The sequence below is a fragment of the Homo sapiens genome, chromosome 2 (assembly GCF_000001405.40).
Source record: "Homo sapiens chromosome 2, GRCh38.p14 Primary Assembly".
In the NCBI taxonomy this organism is placed as follows: Eukaryota; Metazoa; Chordata; class Mammalia; order Primates; family Hominidae; genus Homo; species Homo sapiens.
The window spans coordinates 131,199,441-131,217,192 of NC_000002.12; the positions used below are offsets into that span (position 1 = coordinate 131,199,441).

The window sequence follows — 17,752 nt, forward strand, 5'->3', positions numbered from 1 at the left end:
ACAAGTAGTAAATGGCAGAATTTTTCCTTATTTAAGAATAATTTCCAAAAAAGTAAATAGAGTCTTATGCCACATAACAACATTTCAGTCAATGATAGACAATATGTAACACAGCTGAAAAACTCCTATCGCCTAGTGACATAGCCATCATAATGTCCAAGCACAATGCATTACTTTTTGTTTGCAGCGATGCTGGTGTAAACAAACTTTCACTTCTAGTCATATAAAACAAGTATAGCACATTCAATTATGTATAATATACAGTACTTGATAATGAGAATAAATAACTGTTACTGGTTTATGTATTTACTATAATACACTTTTTTTCTAAGATGGAGTCTCACTCTGTTGCCCAGGCTGGAGTGCAGTGGCGTGATCTCGGCTCACTGCAACCTCCGCCTCCTGGGTTCAAGCAATTCTCCTGCCTCAGCCTCCCGAGTAGCTGGGACTACAGCTGCAAGCCACTACGCCTGACTTATTTTTTTGTATTTTTAGTAGAGAAGGGCTTTTGCCATGTTGGCCAGGCTGGTCTCAACTCCTGACCTCAGGTGATCCACTCGCCTTGGCCTCCCAAAGTGCTGAGACTACAGGCGTCAGCCACCAGGCCCAGTCTACTATGGTATACATTTTATTGTTATTTTAGAGTATACTCCTACTTAAAGATAAAAAGTTAACTATGAAACACAGCCTCAGAAGGTCCTTCAGGAGGTACTCCAGAAAAAGGCATTGTTACCACAAGAGATGACAGCTGGATCCACACGTTATTTCCCCTAAAAACCTTCCAATGGGAGCAGATGTGGAGGTGGAAGACAGTAACACTGATGATCTTGACCCCATGTAGGCCTAGGCTAATGTATATGTTTGTGTCAGTTTTTAACAGAGTTTTCAAACTGAAAATTAAAATAGAACATTTCTGAAATAAAAAAAAACTTACAGGCTATAAAGAAATATTTTTATACAGCTAGCTGTACAATGTGTTTTAAGCTGTTATTACAAGAGTCAAAAAGTTAAAAAATTTAAAAGTTCATAAATTTTAAAAGCTACAGAAAAGTTAATTATCGAAGAAAAAATATTTTTTATAAATTTGGTGTAGCTTAAGGGTACAGTGTTTATAAAGTCTACAGTATAGATCCTGAGTATGAGAAAAAAACAAGTATTAAAAGAGGCAGCCTGTGCCCTGCACTCAGGGGCTTCCCTAGGGGGTGCCCCACTTGCCCAAAGCAGCGCAGCCTGAACCCAAAACTGTGAGCAGAGAATCCCATGTGTGTTTGAAGGGTTTCCTATGTCCTCTGTGTTCTCCTATAGAAAGCAGCAGGAGCGTGTCGAGCACACACCGATGCTCTAACAACACCCTGAGCACACCCTCATGCTGCTGAGACTCACCCAGACCCTGGACAGGCCGTGGTGAGAGCAGCCCAAGGATCGTGGCTGGGGACCATGTCTGGCTTCGTGGAGGAAGTCACATGGAGTGCCTTCTCCAAGAAGACGGCCAACGCCCTGCAGGCAGCCCGCTCCACTTTGCCCGTATCAGTCTGTACAAGTGCGGGATTTCATTTGGCAGATCCCCAAGGCAGGAGAGAAAAGGAGGAAAGCTAACCTAACTCCAGGCTCTCCATGGACACCAACACCTAGAAGTGTCTGACAGGAGGCATGCGTCCTTGGCCCCGATGAGGCTGCGGGCCATCCCTGCAGTCCTGGCTATGCAGCTGAGAGGCAGGCCTTGTGGATGCTCCGGGCACAGGTGTTGAGCAAGGTGGTAACCGAGTGCTTGTCTGGGAGCTGTGGCCGCTTGGAGGTCACACAGCGGTGCACTGACCTGAGGAAGGGGTTGGTGCCTGCAACAGAACAGTGGGCATGAGCCTGGGGCAGCCGGCGCTGCACCCACGCCCTGCACACCCGACAGTGCTCTGGGAAGTGGCAGACCCAGGACTGGCTGAAGCACCAGGAGGAGCCCTGCACGCTGCCTGCCTGGCCATCGGCCTCTCCTCCCAGAGCCTCGTCAGTGAAGAACTGAATCTGAACGGGATTTGGAGCCCAAGGCTTTGCCTCTGACAACCTTGGGGACCCAACCCTGTCTCTGCTGTGTGCCAGCTCTGGGCTCAGGGACACTGACCCCTGTCAACATGACTCTCTTTGGAGCCACATCACCCAGATGGGGTCTTGTGTGCCCAAGCTACTGGTAGGACCTGTCAGCCCCGCTGAGCTCCCTAGTGGCCTCTGGGAGAAGTGGGGTCTGTCCTTGAGCCGTAGGCTTTCTCACCCCTCAGCCACTGAACACAGCCACCCTGGACAACTGACCTGACACAAGATGAAGGGGCAAAGGGACACAGAAGAAGAGCAGAGACCCCTATCTCTCAGGTGACCACTGGAAAACCCACTGCTGCCCGCGTAGGGGGAGTCAGAAGAGGGGAGGGACGGGCCTGAGCTGGGAGGGGCTGGAGTGCACAGAGGCTGTCCCTGCAGCACTGGAAGCCTGGTGTTCCAGAATGACCACTGCCTGCCCTGGGCCCCCAGACAGCTCCTCTGGGTCTGCCCACTGTATAGCCACTGCCGGTCCATCCACAGTGGACTCTGGGTAGGGTAGTGGGTGGGCACATGGTGGCACACTTGGGAGGTCCTTGTCGTTTGCAACACACAAGGCTGTACCCGTGACCCAGACAAGCCCTGGCCTGCCCCGCCTCACAGCCCTGCTCCCAAACAGGACTCTTCACACCCCGGGAGGTTCTGGTGAGGCTTGCGGCAAAGCCTGGATGTCTCTCTGACTCTTGGATTTCCAAACCTGAAGCCAGAGTGACCTGCATAGATGGGTGCCCAGAGGTCCTGCCTGCCACCTCCCTAAGGCCCCAGGCAAGCAGAGCCGCATCTGTGTTGGGGAGGTGAGGGTGAGTGGGCTCCGGGGGTGGGGGCAGAGGCATGGCCAGTCTGTCCTGGGCCCAGTGTATGTGAAGACAGAGCAGACAGCCTGCTGGCACGTAAACACAGGATGGGGTCTGGGCACTGTACCCTCTGGCTTGGACAGCAGAGACCTGGGGCTGCGGTCGGGGGTTGCTTTCCTGCACCAGCCTGGCCCTCCTGGACACTCGCCCAGCTTGCAGATCAGGCAGACAGTGCCATTGTTGCTGCAGTGAGAAGGGTCCAGGTTTATCATGCACTTGGGCTCCAGCCTGGCCACCAGGCCCTGGAGCACGCTGGGGATGCTCTGCTGCTCATCGTCCTCAAGCCTGTGCTTCAGGGTGCATACCACTGGGGCCTTGGGGAGGCACCATGGTGACCACACTGGGCACACATGGCCCAGGGCCAGGCAGCCACCCTCCGCGAAGCCCAGCCCAGCTGGATGTACGTGATGGGTGGGCTGTGGATGGCAGTCATGGTTGGAATGATTGTGCGGTACAGGGAATGGTTGAAGAGGGTGAGCGGATGTTGGCCAGGATGGCATCCAGGAGCAGCTGGCATAGGTACTGCTGTTTGGTCGGTGGCACCGGGGGCAGTGGGGGAGTGGGCTGGAGCAGGATGGGCACGGTCAGCAGCCCGGAACCTGAGGGTTCCCCATGTAGGGGGCTTTCCCACCCCAGGCCCGTCCTCACAGCCAGATTCCCGAGGCCTCTCTCTCAGCCTCCACCCTTGTGCAGACAATGTTGGCCGATCCTGGGTATAATCACCACCCCCACAGCCTTGTCCGCCCCAGAGTCCCTGCCCCCTCTGGGCCGGGTGGCAGAGGCACTGATGGGGGCCGCAGATAGAGAGTGACTTCTCCCACGTTCCCACCCAGCACAGCAAACCTGGCCTGGAAGAGGCCTGGTGGGCAGGGTCTCAGGTCAGGCCCAGCCCCTACCCGGCCACCCTAACCTTGAAGGCCCCTCCCAGCAGTGGTCCCAGGAGCTCTTGGGGGAGCCCCAATTCTCCCAGGGATGCCCAGGATCCCACACTCACCACTGCCATGTCAGTTTTGAGTTTTTTTTTTTTTTTTTGAGATGGAGTCTCATTCTGTCACCCAGGCTGGAGTGCAGTGGCGCCATCTCGGCTCACTGCAAGCTCCACCTCCTGGGTTCACGCCATCCTCCTACCTCAGCCTCCCAAGTAGCTGGGACTACAGGCACCCGCCACCACGCCCGGCTAATTTTTTTTTTTTTGTATTTTTAGTAGAGACGGGGTTTCACTGTGTTAGCCAGGATGGTCTCGATCTCCTGACCTCGTGATCCGCCCGCCTCGGCCTCCCATCGTGCTAGGATTACAGGCATGAGCCACCACGCCCAGCCAATATTTTTAAATAAAAAATTACAAAGCTGTTTTTCTTAAAATGTTACAATAAAATTGTATCTGTGTGTAAAATATATCTATTTTATGTGTACGTGTGTGTGTGTGTGTGTGTGAGTGTGTGTGAGAGAGAGAGAGACAGAGAGAGACAGAGAGAGAGAGAGTTATGAATTAGGAAGCATATGTACCAAAACATTAGGAGTAGTTGAGTAATGAGATTATGAATGATTTGCACTTTCTTCTTTATACCTTATCATCATCTCAAAATTTACAATCAGAATTCATTATAAGCTATTGTTTGTTTATTTATTTATTTATATTCGCAGTGGTGTGATCTCAACTCACTGTAACCTTGGCCTCCCAGGGTCAAGCAATCCTCCCACCTGAGCCTCCGGAGTAGCTGGGACAAATCAAAGTTAAGTTTTCTTCAGTTTAAAATAACTTGTTATAATTATGTTGTTTAGCCTCATGGTAACTGGAAAACAAAAATCAATAATAGACACCCTAAAAATGAAAAGCAAGCAATTAAAACACACTACCAGAAAAAATTACCTCACTACAAATAGACAGGAAGGAAGGGAAGGAGGAAAGAAAAGAAAGAAAGAGATCAGAGAGAAGAGAAAGAGGAAGGAAGGGAGAAAGAACAAAAGAAAAAAGAGGGAATAGCAAAACCACCAGAAAACAAGTAAAAAATGGCAGTAGTATGTTTTTACCCGTTAATAATAACCTTGAATATAAATGAATAAAATTCTCCAATTAAGACAGAGTGGCTGAATGGATTAAAAGACAAGACCCAATTATATACTGCCTACAAGAAACTCAGTTCACCTATAAACATACATAGACTGAAAGTGAAGACATGATAAATGATATCCCATACCAGTGGAAACAAAAAAAGCAGGAGTAGCTCTACTTAGATTATATAGACTTTCAGTCAAAAAAAGAAAAATATGAAGATAATTATATAATGAGAAAGAAGTAAACAGCAGAACAATTACAAGTGCATATGCAACCAGCACTCAAGCAACTAAATACAGTAGCAAATATTAACAGATCTTAAAGCGTAGACTGCAATACAGTAACAGAATGCCTCAATGCTCCGCTATAATCAACACCCCACTATCTTCAACGGACAGATCATCCAGACAACAAAACATCATCAGTTAAACTGTACTCTATACCGAATAGACCTAACATTTACACAGCTTTCCATTCCACAACTGCGCAATGCACATTCCACTGAATAGCATACGGATTATTCTCCACAACAGACTATGCGTTAGGCCAAAAAACAAGTCACAACACATTTTTAAAAACTGAAATCATGGCCAGGCGCGGTGGCTCATGCCTGTAATCCCAGCACTTTGAGAGGCTGGGGTGGGGGGCGGATCACAAGGTCAGGAGACAGAGATCATCCTGGCTAACACAGTGAAACCCTGTCTCTACTAAAAATACAAAAATTAGCTGGGCGTGGCGGTGTGCGCCTGTAGTCCTAGCTGCTGGGGAGGCTGAGGCAGTAGAATGCCGTGAACCCGGGAGGTGGAGCTTGCAGTGAGCCAAGATCGCGCCACTGCACTCCAGCCTGGGCGACAGAGCAAGGCTCTGTCTCAAAAAAAAAACAAAAAAAAAAACAAAACCTGAAATCATATCAAGTATCTTTTCTGACCACAGTGGAATAGTACTAGAAATCAATAACAGGAGGAAAAACTGTACAAATATATGGAAATTAAAATACATGCTCATGAACAACCAATAAATAAATGAAAAAAAAGAAAATTAAAAATTTATTGAAAAAATAATAGAAACACAACATAACAAATCCTGTGGGATGCAGCAAAAGCAGTTGTAAGAGGAAAAGGGCATAGCTATAAACACCTACATCAGAGAAGTAGAAAGATCTCAAATAGCCAACCTGACAGTACACCTGAAGTAGTGAGAAAAATGAGAAAAATAAAATGCTAAAATTAGTACAAAAATATCATAAAGATTAGAGAAGAAATTTTAAAAATAGAAACAAAAAATACAAAAAGTCAATGGAACAAAGAGCTGGATTTTTTAGAAAAAAATCAAAACTGACAAGCTTTAACTAGACTAAGGAAAAGAAAAAGAAAAAATCATAGATGAAAAATGAGACATTGCAAGTGATAACACAGAAATATGAAGGATTGTAAGAGATTACTAAAAACACCTATATAAAAACAAGTTGGAAAATCTAGGAGAAGTGATAAATTTCTGGACACATAACAAATTCCCAAGATAGAATGATAAACAAAAAACCGGAACAGATCAATAATGAGTAATATAATTAAAGCAGTAATAAAAAGTCTTCCGTCAAACAAAAACACAAGAATCATGGTTTTACTGCTGAATTCTACCAAACATTTTTAAAAGAGCTAATACCAATTTTACTCAAAATATTCCCCAAAAAGTGAAGAGAAAGGAAGTCTTCGAAACTTGTTCTATGAGGACAGCATGATCCTGGTACAAAAACCAGACCAGGAAACAACACAAAAAGAAAGCCACAGGCATTTTAAATATCCCTGATAAACACAGATGCAAAAAAATCCTCAGCAAAATACTTGAAAATTGCACTTGACAACACAATAAAAAGATGATCTGCCATGATCAAGTGGGATTCATCCCAGGAATATGAGGATGATTCAATAAAACACAAATAAATAAATGTACGACATCACATTCAGCGAATCAGGAACAAAAACCATATAATCATTTCAGTAGATGCTGAAAAAAATAAAAATCAACATTCCTTCATGGCAAAAACTGAACAACATGAGTACAGAAGGAACATAGCGCAATAAAGGCCATATATGATAAACCCACAGCTAACATCATAATCAATGGGGAAAGGTTAAAACTCTTCCTCTAAGGCCTGGAACGAGTGTGGCTACTTTTACACCACTTTTATTCATCATAGTACTGGAAGTCCTAGGTAGCGCAATTAGACAAGAGAATGCAATAAAAGGCATCCAAATTGGAAAAAAGGAAGTCAAACTGTCTCTGTTTGCAGGTGACATGATCATATATATATACATAGAGAAAGAGAGAACCCTAAAGATTCCACAAAATCACCTACAGGAAATAATTTAGTCAAGTTGCAAGATACAATATCAGCACACCCATGCACCAATAGTGAAATACCTAAGAAGGAAATCAAGAAAGCTATTTCATTACCAAAAAAATTATATCTAGGGATAAACTTAACCAAAAAGACAAAAGATCCCACAATGGAAACTCTAAAACACAGATGAAAGCTATTAAAGCAGACACAAGTAAATGGAAAGATATCCCATGTCCATGCACTAGAAGAATATTGTTAAAATGTCTATATCACCCAATGTGATCTAGAGAGTCAATGCAATCCATGTTAAATTACAAAAGACATTCTTCATAGAAATAGGAAAAAAAAATCCTAAAATTCACATGGAAACGCAAAATACCTCAGATAGACAAAAGAATCTGGAATAAAAAGAAAAGCTGGAGGCATCACACCTGACTTCAAAACATACTACAAATCTGTAGTAAGCATGGTAATACCAAAACAGCATAATACTATCAAAAAAAGGGGCGGGGGAGAAACAGAAACGAAGGAATGACAGACATAGACAAGTGAAACAGAATAGAGAAATCAGAAATAAATTCACACATTTATGGCGTACTCATTTTTAACAAAGGCACCAAGAACACACATTCGGGAAGGACAATCTCTTCAATAAACTGCTAGGATAACTCAACACCCACATGTGCAGGAATACATCTAGGCCGTTATCTTACCATATACAAAAATCTGCTCAAAATAAAGATTTAAATGTAGGACCTGAAACTATAAAACTACTAGAGAAGAAAACATAGGATAAATGCTTCATGAAACTGGTTAGGACAAGGAATTTTCAAATAGACATCAAAAGCACAAGCAACAAAAGCAAAGATGTAATTACATTAAACTTGTCAAAAGCACAAGCAACAAAAGCAAAGATGTAATTACATAAAACTTAAAAGCTTCTGCAAAGCACAGGAAGAAATCAGTAGAACGAAGAAACAACCCAGAGAATGGAAGAAAGTATTTGCAAACTATGCATCAGCCAAGGGGCTAATACACAAAATATATAAATAACTACTCAAAAGCAAAAATACAAATAATTTGATTAAAAAAAAATCTACCCCAAATCTTTGTCTCCCACCATTATTTTCCCACCTTCTTTTCCCGACCGCCTTTGGCCTCCTCCCCCTCGCCACCCGTTTTCTTCCTCCATCTACCCCAAAACTTTTTCCCCACCATTTTTCCCTACCGTCATTTCGCAAAGCCTTCTCTGCTCTCTCACTCACCACCCTTTTCCCCATCCACTTACCCACTTTCCCCACTGTTTTTTCCCACCGTCTTTTCCCTTTCTCCCTGGCCACCTTCTTTTCCCCCATCCCACTCTCATCACCCTCTTTTGCTCCTTCATCTAAGCAAAAACATTTTCTCCCGTCTTTTCCCAAACCCTTCTCCTCACTCCTGCTGCTCACCACTTTTTCGCCCTTCATCTACCCGAAAACTGTTTTCCTCATCGTCTTTTCCCCCGCTCCTCCTTGCCACCCTCTTTCCCTTCTCTACCCAAAAACATTTCCCCATAGTCTTTTCGCAAAGCCTTCTCCCCACTCCTGCTCACCTCCCCTTTTCCCCCTCCATCCACCCCCCAGAATATTCCCTACTGTCTTTTCACAGTCTTCCCCCCTTCCCACTCGTCCTCTTCTTTGCCCTATCCTGCTTGCCACTCTCTTTTTTGCCTTCCATCTACCCCAAACTATTTTCCCATTTTTTCCCCAACTCTCTTTCCCTGCTCCCTCTCGTCACCCTCTTTCCTCCTCCTCGTTACCCTCTTTCCCCCCACCATCTACCCAAACACTTTTTACCCACTGTCTTTTCTTTCTCCACCGTCTTTCTTTCCTGCCCACTATCTTTTTGCAAAACCTTGTCTTCCTCCCGCTGGCTACCCTTTTCCCTTCCCCCACCTGTTACCCTCTTTTCCCCCTCTATCTACCCAAAACCTTTTCTCCCCACTGTCTTTTCACAAAACCTTCTCTCTCTACTGCTCAACGCTGTTTCTCCCCCCCACCACCCTCTCTTTCCTCCTCCCTTGCCACCCTCTTTTCCTCCTCCATCTACCCATAAACATTTTACCCACCATCTTTCTGCAAAACCTTCCCTCCCTGCCGCTCCCCACCCCGTTTTTCTCCCTCCATCTACCCAAAAACTTTTTTTCCCACTATCTTTTCCCCACCGCCTTTTTGCAACGCGCTCTCCTGCTCACTATCCTCTCTTCCCTTTGGCACTAACCACCCTCTTTACCCCCTCCATCTATCCCAAAACTCTTTTCCTCCTCTTACCGCTTCCGCCGCACTGCCGTCTCGGTCGCGGTTACCACCAGTCGCAGCGAGGCGAGCCACGGTGTAGCGGCTCCAGCCTCCAGCGTACGGCTGGTGATTACCCATTCCTGGTCCTCTAAGCCGGGCACTGAGCAGCTCCACAGGAAAATACGGGAACGTGGAAGAGCCTGACTTCCCTTCAGCAGCAGGCGTATACCGCGGTTATATACAGGAGGATTCCTGACTGCATGTTCTGATTGGATGAGAAAAACCCTCCAGGGTTACTTGGATTGGACTTTATTATCATGTTCTGATTGGATGAGAGCCAGTCTTAAGACAACCAATCACAGCATGAAAATAAAGTCCAATCAGAGTAGGCCTAGAGGTTTTTCTCTCATCCAATCAGAACATGTAGTCTGGGAACCACATGTGCGTAACCTCAGTACGTAAAGCATGCGGAGGTGGCGTCAGGTCATTTCAGGCTCTTAAGTGTGGGCGTTTGGTAACCGGCATGGCTGCTACCTGTTTCTGGCTGGAGCCTCGGACACTGGCTCACTGCAGTTGGTGGTGTCCACAGAGCGGTAGGAGGGCAACTAGTAGCGGGAGCTTCTCCTGCCAGGCAGGAAGACGAGTAGAAGGGAGCAGCACCGACGCATGCTGGAGGCTGGAGCCTGAGCCCCTGGGGCTCGCCTTGCTGTGTTTGGTGGTGACGTGGGACACTGCAGCTCGGCCAGAGTGGTAGAAATGTCCTGGTGTAGGTGAGTTATCCGGGGATGTACTGCCCGCCTGTGGGGGCAGGGGTTGGGTGTCCTATTGGGGCTCACTGCCCGAGGCTGCACTGCCTGTGTCAGGGGGCTGGTTGGGGGCACTCTCCGAGGTTGCATTGCTGGCGGTGGAGGGGGGCGGTTTTGGCTGGCTGTCCGGGGCTACACTGCCCGTGGTGGCGGGGGTGGTGGGGGGGAGGCAGGTTGTGTGCACTAACGTGTACTGCCGGTGGCGGGGGAGGGGTTAGGGGCACTATTTTCTGCTGCACTGCCCGGGGCAGGGAGTGGTTTGGGTGGTTATTTGGAGCTACAATGCTGGCAGCGGGGGGTGGTTTAGGAGTGTTGTCGGGTGCTGCACTGCCCTTACTCAGGGTGCGCTATCAGGAGCTGCGCTACCTGTGGTGGGGTGGGGGCGGCGATTTTGGGGCACTGTCTTGTGCAGCAACACCTGTGGCTGGGTCAGGTTGTGGGCACTATCGGGTGCTACACTGCCTGTGGAAGGGGTGGTTGGGGGGGGGTATTGGGGTTACACTGCCTGCAACTGGCACAGGGTGTGTTGGGTGTGCTGTCCGGGGGCTACACTGCCGGCGGCAGGGGTCAGGTTAGGGTTGCTATGGGGGCTATACTGCCAGTGGTGTTGGTCGGCTGCAGAGGTGGTGGGGACAGCAACAGCCATGGTCTCCTTGCTCCTTCGGGTAACTCTTCTCTTTTCCAGACTCCAGAGTTCCTGCTCGTGCAATCTTGAGCAGGGCAGGGCCCCCACACCCACTGCGGTTCTCCGGCCTGCACCTCCCGCCCACACCCCATGCTCTGTGTTGGGGAGACCACCTGGGACTACCGGGTGGGGATTAGTGGGCATCGCGGGGGACTGTGGGAACAGGGCACTGTGGGTGGAGGTGTCAGGAACGGGAACCAGCAGTTGAGTGGGGAGGGCTGGCTGGGTCTGAGTTTCTCCTACTCCTGCTCCCCAAGGAGTGCAGCCCTGGTGGGCCCAGCAATTTCTGGCCAGTTGCACCTGGATGGGGGTGGTTTCAGCATAGGCACTCACACCCGCCCCAGTTCCTGGCCACCTTTTGCCAGAAAGAGAGGCTGGACTTCGGTGGGTGGGTGTGAGTGCCTTAGCTGAAGCTGGTCCCTGCCACCCAGTGGCCAGCATGACAAGGTGAGGCTCTAACGTTACCACTCCCTGCATCCCATTCTAGGCTTTTCTGGCTTTGCCGGTCTAGCTGCTCCAAGCCAGGCTGGAGGAGGAGGAGAAGGAATCACCTGTGGTACGCTGGAGCCTGCATGTGGCGTGACTCTGCAGCTCGCCTCGTGTGACTGATGGCAGCCACGGAGACTGCAGCTCGACAGGAGTGGTAGGAGGGTGCCCGCGGGGGCAAGGTGGTAGGAACCTTGTAGGGTGGGCTGCTGCATTGACGGCGACAGCAACTGTATTGGCATTGGTGCTAGTGGTGGTAGTGGCAGAAAGTCTGGGGACTGGGAAGGGGGAGTAGGAGCACTGCAGGGCCCAGTCCGACCTGGGGTGGGGAGGAACCTGCTGGTGCTGTACCATGGGCCTCGGTGGCAGTGGTGGAGGTGCACTTAGGGAAAGGAGTCCTCCCCCTTCTCTTGCAATCTCTGGAGGGTGGCCTCCTTCTGAGCCAGGCATGAGTGGCAGCATTGTCTCATTCTTAACAAAATTTAGGGGGTGACTGTGTGTGTGTGTGTGTGTGGCTTTTTTTTTTTTTTTTTTTTTTTTTTTTGAGACAGAGTCTCGCTCTTTTGCCCAGGCTGGAGTGCAGTGGTGCGATCTCGGCTCACTGCAAGCTCTGCTTCCTGGGTTCACCCCATCCTCCTGCCTCAGCCTCCCTAGTAGCTGGGACTACAGGCGCCTGCCACCACGCCCAGCCAATTTTATTTTTGTATTTTTAGTAGAGATGGGGTTTCACAGTGTTGGCCAGGATGGTCTAGATCACCTGACCTCATGATCCGCCCACCTTGGCCTCCCAAAGTGCTAGGATTATAGGCGTGAGCCACCACTCCCGGTCATTTTTTCCTTCTTTTTTGTTGTGATGGTCTTGGACTTTTTCAAATTTTGTGAATTGGGGAGGGGATAAAAGGTGTCATAATAGGCCTTCTAATTCCTGCACCTGTTCTTTTTGCTTTTTCTAGTCTGTGTATTCTTCTCATCTTCTTGTTCCTCTTCATTTTCTTTTGCTGCTGCTTCTATTTCATGTTTCTATTCTTGTTTCTCCTCCTCTTTTTGTTTTCTTTATGCCAAGCAATGGCCTTAACAAACAACAAGCCAAAATTGTCACTGTGTTGTATTTTTAAAATAACTGGTCCTTTACTATGTTTTAGGGATGAGGAAAAAAATCAGTTGTATAATTAGTTACTTGAATAGCTATGCTTTCATGATTGTGTTAAACCACTTATGCCTAGTGTTCCATTATTGGAATGGTAAGCATGAGGGAGTTAATTACATCCTACTGCTCAAGGTCATTAGAAGGTTTGATTTTTCACTCGTGCAAAAATTCAAAAAATTGCAGCCTCTGGCATAAATGGGCTAATGCGTTATAAGTAGTTATTCAGAGAATCAAAAAATGAAGCATCACATAAAAATATTGGTGGCAAACAGCCATTTCATCTCTCTCACATATTTGGAGCTATGCAGGAGTCACGGGGTAAGTTCTAATTTATGAGATTATTAAGTGAACTGTATTGCCTTCATTTTCTCTGCCACCATTTCCTTTGTTTTCTTTCTTTTTTTTTTTGAGATGGAGTTTTGCTCTTGTTGCCCAGGCTGGAGTGCAATGGGGCGATCTCGGCTCACTGCAACCTCCGCTTCCTGGGTTCAAGCAAGTCTCCTGCCTCAGCCTCCCGAGTAACTGGGATTGCAGGCATGTGCCACCATGCCCAGCTAACTTTGTGTTTTTAATAGAGATGGGTTTTCTCTATGTTGGTCAGGCTGGTCTTGAACTCCCGACTTCAAGTGATCCACCTGTCTCAGCTTCCCAAAGTGCTGGGATTGGAGGTGTGAGCCACCACGCCTGGCTCTCTGCCACCATTTTCAAGAGTATTGCCATCTGCCTGAGCAAACCTGGTTCATCACCACCTCTTTGCAAGAGAAAAAGGAAGTCGGGAGAATTGTGTGTAATTTTTTTTTTTTTGAGATGAAGTCTCGCTCTTGTCCCCCAGGCTGTAGTACGATGGCCCGATCTTGGCTCACTGCAACCCCTGCCTCCTGGGTGAAAGCAGTTCTCCTGCCTTGGCCCCCTGAGTAGCTGGGATTATAGGTGCCTGCCACCACGCCCGGCTAATTTTTGTATTTTTAGTAGAGATGGGGTTTCACCATGTTGGCCAGGCTGGCCTAGAACACCTGACCTCAGGTGATCCACCCACCTCGGTCGGCTGTGTGTATTTTAAGGCAAAGATTCACAACCAAAAACAAGGCTTTATTAACTTTTGTATCTAAGAACCTGCAGTGTCGAGCCCTCTTTTATTCCTAGTATTACTACTTTAGGTGTGAACTTTTTATCTTTATTTTACTGATTCCTCTAGAAGTTTATGCATTTTCTTGACTGCTTTAAAGACAATCTATATTGTATCATTTTTCAAGCCCGTAGAAATGTGTAAGGCCTATAATTTGAACACTTGTTATTTTTAAGGTTATGAGCATGTAATATACCATTGATACATGGAAGAATATGTATAAATACCACTAGATAGGTTATATTGAAGAGATAATATCTAAATTTTTGTCCAGAGTTGATGGGGTGCAGTTTTGTAGGTGTGTTTCTCAATACATTGTGTCCATGTTTTAAAGCATATAGAAATTTGAATACTGTTTAACCTCATATAGTCCTTGTTTATAGGTTTAATATTTCTAAAGACTAAAGACGTCACAGCTCCCTTTAAGATTCAGTAATACTAATAAAATTTGAGATATACAGGGTTAGAGTCCAACAAATTCAAAGGAAAATTGTTGAATTATATAGCCGTAGAGCAGGAATGAAACCCAGGTTCTAAGTTCCAAGGGGGCCATGAGCTACCATACAGGTGCATCAGTGACTGGGCATAGAGTTGGCAAAATTATTTAAGAGAGTGAGCTGTGGATCCTAATTATGTGAACATGAATTTTTGAACTGCATGGTGCCTCAGTTTATCCATCATTACAGTGGGGACAGTAGTAAGTTTTTCTTTTTCTGCTCAGTTGTCTGAATTATTACCCCAGTCTCTCTTGTTGCCACTCTTGATGCCCACATGAGAGGATCTAAGGTAATTTCTGACAACCTGGGACTCCTTAAGGAAAAACAGAAGGTTCCACAAACCCCATTTTAGGAGAAACCTCTGTTTTCCTCATGGAACCCCAAGAACTTTAAGCAGACAGGTCCCTCTCAAAAATCTAAGGCTCTCCTCTGTTTTGCCTTGCGTTGTCTGACCTTTTTGGTTTGGATGGGCATCAGAAATTAGTAGGGGAGAGAGATCTAAAGAAAATTGTGGATATGAAGATGTATTTATTATAAGAAATGTTATGAAGGAAAGAAATGTTATATGAGAGAGGATCTTATATGGCAAATTGTTGTCCTAAAGTAGAATGACTAATTACAAAAGAGGGAAATACAGGACAGGTCAGATAAATTTAATCATGTCGTAGATAGTCTGTGGAAGTTGTGTTATGGTTCATAAAGTGGGAAAGAAAAACTGAACAACTGCTAGATCTTTTCTTGTCTAGAAGTGTTGTGTATGTGATGTATATATAATGGCTCGGCTTAAAAGAAAATGAAAGCTCTTAAATATTTTGTAAGAAAAATAGAAGCTCTAATGCCTTTTATTTCATGTGACTTCAGTAATCTTTGGGAAATAAAGATGGTGTTAAAGTCAGTGGTAAAATAAAAATATCTTCAAAATTTATCCATTTGGTCTAATTTAAGTCAGAGGTTAAGTTTTAGAAGTGCTTTAATGTCATAAATTGATGCTTTGACTTTGGAAAATAGTTTTGTTTACCTGGTTTGGAGCCGTTAGATTTCTAGGTAAGGTCTCCGGACAGGTGGAGTTAGCCATGTCTCCTAGCTATGCTGGAAGGAGTCAGATTTTATCTGCAGTTCTGTCTTGTATCCTAGACTCTGCACCTGGTATGCAATTAAAACTTACTGCTGCTGCTAATCTCTGGGTTCCATTTAAAATCCTTCCATCACATGAATACTATCCCCTGTACTAAATTTTTCCACAATTAAATACTTAGAATCATTTTTGCTGACTTGACCCAACCATTAGTGATATATTTTAAAAATGCTTATAATGTGTCACAATATATTTAGCAAATGTAGGGAATGACATTTTTACTTTCTTCAGCATTTACATAGCATTTATGTAGCAATGCTATCTCAAGTATTTTTAATCATTTAAACGTTAGATAATAGATATGTTTTTGATTCCTTTTTTCTATGTAAATAAATATAATTATGAGATATTTAGTAAATAGTATCAATTGCATATGTCACTTACAGAATATACAATGCAATTAGGATTATTTTTATACACTACATCATATTTACTTGTTGGCTTTACAATAACTTAGAAATAGTATTCTGGATTAACTGTGTGACTCATGAGAGAGGGAGTTTGTGCAATTATAGTCTTTACAAATTTTTACTAGATTTTTCAAGACTTACGCTAGAACTTTGAGAACAAGGTAATAAATAAGCATATCTGTTAATATCACCTTTGGTCAACTCTTGGCTAGACCCAATGATAATGTAGGAATTAACATAATTTTTCTACTAAAGGTGTTGGATTTGTTCCGAGAGACCACAGTTCAAAGTCATTGACAAAGAAAGTTTAAAAATTGTTAGATTAAAACCTTTTAGTGTGTTTGAAATTGTTTTGTAGAAAAATATCCTGGTTTGCATTGATAGGTTTTTTTTTAAATAACAACTAGACCAAGAGAAAGGGAGAGTAGTGATAAATGTCCATGTTTTCGAGTTGAAAAGTAACAATCAGTGTATTACAACAGATGGATTTGATGTCAAATTACAAATGCTGAGAACGTTATATGTAACTGACTTGCCAGAGTAATTATACAAGGCAAAGAAAGGAAAGGCATCTAAATAGGAAGGGAAGGGGTGAGATTGTCTGTGTTTTAGACTCCACAAAAAACCCATTACAGCTGATAAACACTATATTCAATAAAGTTGAGAGTTACAAAATTAACATTGGTTTCCATACACCAATGACAAACTGTTATCTGAAAAATAAGGTAATTCCATTTATAATAGCAACAAAACAAATATATAAGTAAATCAAAGAGCAAGGAGTAATTTTAATGAAGGATGTGAACGATTTGTATACTGAAAATTATAGCACATTGATGAAAGAAATTGAAAGTGACAAATAGAAAAAGTCCTATATTTGTCAACTGAAAAAATTAATATTGTCAAAATTTCAATGCTACTCAAAGCATTCTACAGATTAAATGCAACCGCTGTCAAATTCCAATGTCATTCTTCACAGAAATAGAAAAATTAGTCCTAAAATCTGAATGGAACCACAAAAGATGCTGAAAAACCAAAGCAATCTTTAGCAAAAAGAACAAACCTGGAGGCATCAGACTACCTAATCTTTGACAAAGCAAACAAGAAAATGGGAAAGGACACCCTATTCAACATATGCTGCTGGTATAATTGGCAAGCCACATGCAGAAAAATGAAGCCGTTCTTCAAAGGTTAAATACAGAATTACCACATGACTCAGTAAATTCACTCCTATGTATACACCAAAAATAAATTAAAACAAATGCCTTACACATAAAGGTATTTATAGCAACAAAAAGTAGGAAACAACAGAAATGTCCATGAATTTTGGAGTGGATTAATAAAATGTGGTCTGTCCATAAAATAAAATATTACTTGGCAATGAAAAAGAAAAACATATTAATACATGCTCCAAAAAGGATGAACATTGAAAACATGATAAATGAAAGTAGTAAGTCACACGTAACTATATTATTATGATTCCACTTACATGAAATGTCCAGAATAGGCAAATCCTTCCAGAATAGGCAAATTCTTAGGAAGTAGATGGATGATTGCCTAGGGCTGGGAGAGGTTTAAAGGAAGAATGGGGAAAATAGGGAAAGATTGCTAATGGGTGCAAAGTTTCTTTTAAGGAGCATAAAAATGTTCTAAAATCGTGGTGATTGTTTAACTAGTTAATACACTTAAAAAACTGAATTTTATACTTTAAATGAGTGAATTAAATAATATATAAATTGTATCTCAATGAACCTGTGAAAAAAGTTAAAAAATATGTGGTATGCATAAACAAAAAGTTCTTCATTTTATTTCCTAGGGTTTTGGGGAAAAGGTGGTGTTTGATTATATGAG

General features: G+C 44.4%; 1 protein-coding gene and 1 pseudogene across 3 annotated transcripts in view, besides 1 other annotated feature; one reads left to right on the plus strand and one right to left on the minus strand.

Moving 5' to 3' along the window:
* Positions 1,304 to 1,805: an enhancer, noted in NCBI's record as "H3K4me1 hESC enhancer chr2:131958317-131958818 (GRCh37/hg19 assembly coordinates)". NCBI's record gives its function as "activates a minimal SCP1, AML or CMV promoter by ChIP-STARR-seq in naive H9 embryonic stem cells {active_cell/tissue: H9 hESC(naive)}" and the evidence as "EXISTENCE:reporter gene assay evidence [ECO:0000049][PMID:30033119]".
* MED15P8 (mediator complex subunit 15 pseudogene 8) lies at positions 1,504 to 3,501 on the minus strand (annotated as a pseudogene).
* The window catches only part of POTEE (POTE ankyrin domain family member E), a 55,743-nt gene continuing 48,086 nt past the window's right edge, over positions 10,096 to 17,752 (plus strand). For 2 of the 3 annotated variants that reach the window (NM_001083538.3, XM_047444418.1), the window contains exons 1-2: positions 10,096 to 10,379; positions 11,588 to 11,743. The gene's annotated coding sequence lies outside the window, so the exon portion shown is untranslated. The remainder of the gene's footprint in view (positions 10,380 to 11,587; positions 11,744 to 17,752) is intronic. The other variant, XM_047444421.1, reaches the window with a different exon arrangement.